Here is a 5,880-nt window from a genome sequence, read left to right on the forward strand (position 1 = left end):
TCCCCATAACTTAGGGTTTATTTGCTTTCTCTTGAATGTCACATATAATTCTTGCCAAAATGTTTATTTGCCTAATGCAACTTTTAGTGCCCTGGTAATTTATTTTCCTATTTATCAGCCAGGAGGAAGGAAGGCTACGTTTAGCCTCTGGCTCAAATGCAGAAAATAATACAGTGGCCCCCACCCTTTCATCTCCACAGCACGACAACGTGCCTCACCTGCCACTGAGAAAAGCAAAGTCCGCTCCACCGTAAGGCCTCTCGCCCCTCCCATGTGGACCACAAGCTCAATTCCATCCAGAAATCGGAGTTTTGTTTTCTTCAAAAAGAGCAGCCAATGAGGAGGTGAATTGTATCATCACAAGCCCTTGAGAGAGACAAAAGTCAATCCTCTGGATACAATGTCATTTCCAAATCGAATCAATTCTGTGAGTTGTGAGGGAATTCAATTCAACCAACACTAATTGAGTGCCTACTATGTGCCAGGCCCTCTGCTGGGATGAGGATTCAGCAATAAATGAGCCAGCGTTTTGGCCCTCCAGGAACTGACGGCCAATTGGGAGACGGGAATGTAAACCAATAACGGCAATGCAATCTGGGCCGTAATGAGGAAGCAGACAGAGTGCTGGGGGATGGCGGGAGGAGGTGGCACACTGCCCCAGGAGCCAGCAGAGATGGCAGAGACACCATGAGATGCAGCCTCATATTATCCCAGGAGGAAGGGGTGGGGGGGCATTGAAGACATAGGGAGCCCATTATAAGGGAAGGCAGATTGGTACCTAGCATGCTATGAGGGACACGAGGGGAGAAGGCCTGGAGAGTGAGGCCGATCCTGGCAAGCCTTGGATGCTGCCCAAGGGCTTTGATGTCACTCATAGGCAATGGAGAGCCAATCGATAGTGTGCGTTCGATGATTATGGTAGCAGTGTGATCATGAACCAGGATTAGACTGGAGCTGGGTGTGCTGAGCCAGTGTAGGGCTCTGCAGTAAATACAGGAGCAAGATGATGAGCTAATTGGAGGTAATGTGGATGGAGTCGGGGTGAGGGAGCAGCAAGCATAGGAGAGATTTGGCAGCGTTTCCATGTGGGACCATGGCTGTTGATTAGATGTAAGGGTGAAGGCCAAGGAGCGGGTCACAGATGCCATCCCTGAGTAGGAAACACTGACAAAGACCAGGTTTGTGGGCAAAGCAGTAGCCAGCTGTGTACATGTCAGGTCTATCAGACATGGAGATGCCCAAGGGAAGAGGATGGCCAAGTGGTTGTTGGGAATGAAGGTCTGGGAAGAACCTGTCTGTGCCTCGGTGGGAAATGTGCGCTGGGCTGGGCTGGGCTGGGACGGTGGGGTTTTCCCCATCCCAGAACTTTTGGCCTGGCCCTAAGAGGTGGTGCTGACTTCATCAAATCCTCCCCACCACCACTACCACCAACCCTTTACTTGCTGTGGTCAATATCGACATGGCCCTGGGGCAGGAGGGATTCTTCTGAGAACTTCCCTGAGGCTTTGCATTCCTTTCAGAAGTTGGAGAGGGAGTCACAGAGAGGGTCCCCAGGCCTCCAAAGGGTCAAGAGAGAAATAAGGGCACAGGAAGAGATCTTGGGCTCTTAGAAATCTAGAGAGAAGCCATAAAGAAGGGGGATTCATGAGCATCCCCTATGCTCAGGGGCCCCCAAAGCCATCTCAGTTTTCCCAGGAGGCTCACCCACTCCAGACCCAGATGTCCCAATTGCCCAGACTGGTTGGCTGTGGTCAGTGCATAGAAACCCCAGGAGTAGAGACCAGGTCACTCACCAAGGGTGGAGCAGGAGTGTGCCAGCTTCCAGAAATTTGTGAAGAAGCCTAGGCACATTGGGGTCTCCTTGGGGTGACCTGAGCATGGCCAGGGGTGTGCACAGGCAAGACTGCAAAGTGCACGCAGCAAAGACAATGACAACAGAGTCATTCGTGCTGTGCCCTGCAGGGAAGGTTGGGGTTTTCATGGCCTGCTGAGCGGCAGCATAGACTTCAGAATCAGGCTAGGTCTGTGTCCAAATCCTGACTCTGCCACTGACACAGGTGACCTTGAGAAAATTGCTACTGTTATAGGTGATCTTGAGAAAATCATTTAACCACTCTGCCTCAGTTTCTTACTCTGTAAAATAGAAATGAGAATAATAGTACCTACCTCATAAAATTGTTATGAAAATTAAATGAGGTAATTATGTGAAGCACTTAGCACAGCATCTAGAACTTAATAATCACTCACTAAGTGGGTGGCTCTTATTTATTATTTTTTTACCATCATCACCATTATCAAAGGGGCTACAAAAGCCAGAATGTGTGACCTTCCAGCCATGACCAGAGGAAAACTCTTGATTCTGTCAGAGAACATTGTTGGTTCCAACACTGGGAAGGAACATTCCTGCTATAAATTAATACACCAGACCCCAACCAGGCATGAAATTGCTCCAGGTTCTGACCACCTCCTGGTAGCCCATAAAGGCAGAGCCAAGTCCCACCCCCAAACCCACCAGCCCCTCAATAAGGGTAGCCCCATTGCCAGAGTCAGCTGTCCCCTGGACCACAGCTCCAGCTCATTTTTCTTTAAGTCCAGCCCCGGCCTGGAAGAAGAAAGCCCCTTCCCCTCTTAGGGACCCTTGTCATCAATTGGGGTCTGCTCACTGGACCTCCTTGACAGGAATCAGCTCAGAACCTTGAGAGACCAACAGATTCTCCTTGGGAACTGATGGAGAAGTCCCTTCCCAATGCTCCTCTCCCCACTTTTGTGTTCACAAGCTCCCATTTCCTGAGCACCTACTAATAGACACCCCACGCACACAGCAGCCACCTCTCCACATGCATGCCAAGGAACAGAAACTCTCAAATAACAAAGAACCCAAAAGTCATTGCTAATCACATTTGCATAATATGATTATTTTTTCAGCAGATTTACCTTCCTAATTACGTTTGTCTCCAACCAATATTAAAGTGATTTTGCATTCCCCAAGCACACTGGTGTTGAGCGAAGCTGCTCCAGAGGTGGTCCAGGAAGTCATCCTGGAAGCTGAGATTTTGCCACGAAGTAGACAACTCCAAGTTGAGAAATTATTAAGACCCACCTACATTCCTTGGGGGGAAGAATAGCAGCAAATTGCATTTTTTACAGTGTTTTAAAGCTTGCAAAGGACTTCTTCAAGCATCTCATTTGATCTTTACAATAACCCTGTCACCCACTATACAGGCAGAGAAACTGAGATTGCTTTTCTTACGACGTTTAGGAATAAAGCCAGGACTCCACCCTACATCCCCTGACTCCAAAGCTCTTCAGGGATGGTCTCCCTAAGAGCTCCCCTGGTCTTAACTGTATAGTGTCTACCACAGATGTAGATACTGAAACAGAAATATAATGGCCCAATTTGTTCATGTCTCCCTGTATCTGCACCCTTGGGTACTCCCCATTGCACACTGACTCTAGGATTGGCCATGTGACTTGCTTTCACCAGTGGGACAGCATAGGAAACACGTCACAAACAGACACTTGCAAAGTGCATGCCTCATGCTGTTCTTGGATTCATTCCTTCAACTACCATGTGAGTAAGCTCAGGCTGGCCTATTGGAGGATGTGGGACACATGGGTCAATCGCCCTCATCACCCTGGCCAACAGCTCATCAGCCACCAGACCCGTGTGTGAGGCCACTGGAGTCCATCCAGACCAGCCAGCACACAAGTGACTCAGCTGAGATCAGCCATGCTGAGCCCAGGCCACAGATTCGCTCAGCTGCCCCTAAGAGCCAGGATGGTTTGTTACACTGCAAAACTAACACTAACTGATTGCTATGGCCTGAATGTGTATGTCCACCCAAATTTTCATGTTAAAACCTAACCCCCAATGTGACAGTACTTGCAGGTGGATCCTTTGGGAGGTGATTAGATCGTGAGGGCAGAGCCTTCATCAGTGGTATTAGCACCCTTATAAAAGAGCCCCAAGGGAGCCTCCTTCACCTTCCACTAGTGAGGACACTGTGAGAACACAGCTGTCTATGAACCAGGAAGACATCCCTCACCAGACATCCAATCTGCCAGCACCTTGGTCTGGTATTTTCCAGCCTACAGAATGGTGAGAAATAAATTTCTGCTGTTTGTAAGCTACGCAGTCTATGGGATTCTTTTACAGCAGCCGGATGGACTAAGACATTGATACAAGGAGTAACAGAGCATCCCACTCCTCACTGTAGGAGGGTTGTTGGCAGGGAGTGTTTCCATACACAGTCAGGCCCACACCCTCTCTCAGACTCTGCTATTCCCAAGCCCTGATCCAGCCTGGGTAATTCCTCCACCCCAAATATTTGGCCTTGCTGAGTTCTGAAGCTCTGTTCTCAGGACATATAGAAGGTGTGTTTCTTCATCCATCCTCTCATACTCCATAAACACTCCTTCCTAGTAAATCCCAATTACTGATGTGCTCTCCTCTCTTTGCGCCTGTAGAGACCCCACATGAAGTCAGTCAGGATTTCAGAAACAATTGCCCAAGAAAATTAAGCTGGAGTTTGGAAGGCCCAGAGGCAAATCTAGGCAGTCACTGAGGTCAGCTTTATCTAAGCCCAGGTGCCCTGACACCAAACCTTCTCACTGGTCTTATGAGGTGGCCTTGCTTGAGGCCAGGCCTGGATCCCTCTCTCCAGACAGTGCTGGCCCCAGTCATGTTCCTGTAACCAGCTTCATCCTCTTAACAGCTTTGTGACTTTAGCAAGTTACTAGTGCCTTTGTGTTTTTGTTTGCCCCTCTGTAAAATGGGTATAATAATAGTACCTACCTCATGGGGCTATGTTGAGGTTCACATTTACATATGTAAAGAACTTACAAGAGTGCCTGGCACAAAGTAAGTGCTATGTAAGTACCACTTCCCACTATACCTACTATAACGTCTCCTGTTATAATTATGGTGCTGGTTATTCTTGTTTCCATGTCTCAGGGGAAGGGGCCTGGAGGAGAAAGGACAGGTTCGTGCTCTTGGTTTCAAGCCCTTACGTTAGCCTCCTGGAGGTCCCTTTAGCCTGCTCCATAGGTTCAGGACACACAAAACACCCTCTTTTCCCTGCCTTCCTTTTCCTGACCTAAGCCCAGCACGTGGTCTGTGCTCATTAGTCGGAAGGTTGTTCTCAGATCTACACTCAAGGCTGGTTCTCATTCTGGGGCAAGGACAGCCTTTCTACCACAGTTCAATCCCCAAAATCCCTCACCCTTTCTGTTCTCACTCCTCTCTTTAAGGTCACAGTGAGGCAACTGGCACTGTAGACCCAGAGTCAGAGGGATCTGGTTCCAAATTCTGGCTGTGGCACTGACTAGTTGTGCAGCTTTAGACAAATCACTTAACATCTGAGTTTAGGTTTCTTCATCTTTAAGATGGGTTATTGATACCTGTCCCCTAAAAGTTGTCGTGAAGATTAAATGAGATAATATCCATATGTTAGTTAGAATAATGGTAGCTGCTATAAAAAATAAGCTTCACTATTTCAGGAGCTTTTCACAATAGAAGTGTATTTCTCATTCACACAGTAGTTGAATGAGATTGTTTCTTCTTAATTGGTGGCTGTCTTTTGCACAGTGATTTGGGAGCCAAGGCTCCTTCCATCCTCTGTCTCTGCCATCCTCTAGGGGCACAAAGCCCTCTGCATCTAGCCAATAAACAGAAGTGCAAAGTTGGGGAGGACATCCCTTATTTTTACCCACCTTTACCCAGGTGGAACACGCATCATCTTCCTCATGTTCCATGAATGAGACCAAGCCATGGGCACCATTTAGATGTGAGGTTAGGAATAGAAATAGACCCAGGCTGGGCAACACTGCTAGGCACAACCCTACAGTATGGAAGGGAAGCACAACCCCATGGTGGACAGA

At 48.1% G+C, this 5,880-nt stretch overlaps 1 annotated feature.

Annotated features, from left to right (window-relative positions):
- Positions 1,043–1,237: a silencer, noted in NCBI's record as "fragment chr1:37713576-37713770 (GRCh37/hg19 assembly coordinates)". NCBI's record gives its function as "represses an EF-1alpha promoter that drives an FKBP-Casp9 reporter gene in an ReSE screen in phorbol 12-myristate 13-acetate-treated (for megakaryocytic differentiation) K562 erythroleukemia cells {active_cell/tissue: K562(+PMA)}" and the evidence as "EXISTENCE:reporter gene assay evidence [ECO:0000049][PMID:32094911]".

This window comes from Homo sapiens, chromosome 1, assembly GCF_000001405.40.
Source record: "Homo sapiens chromosome 1, GRCh38.p14 Primary Assembly".
Taxonomy (NCBI): domain Eukaryota; kingdom Metazoa; phylum Chordata; class Mammalia; order Primates; family Hominidae; genus Homo; species Homo sapiens.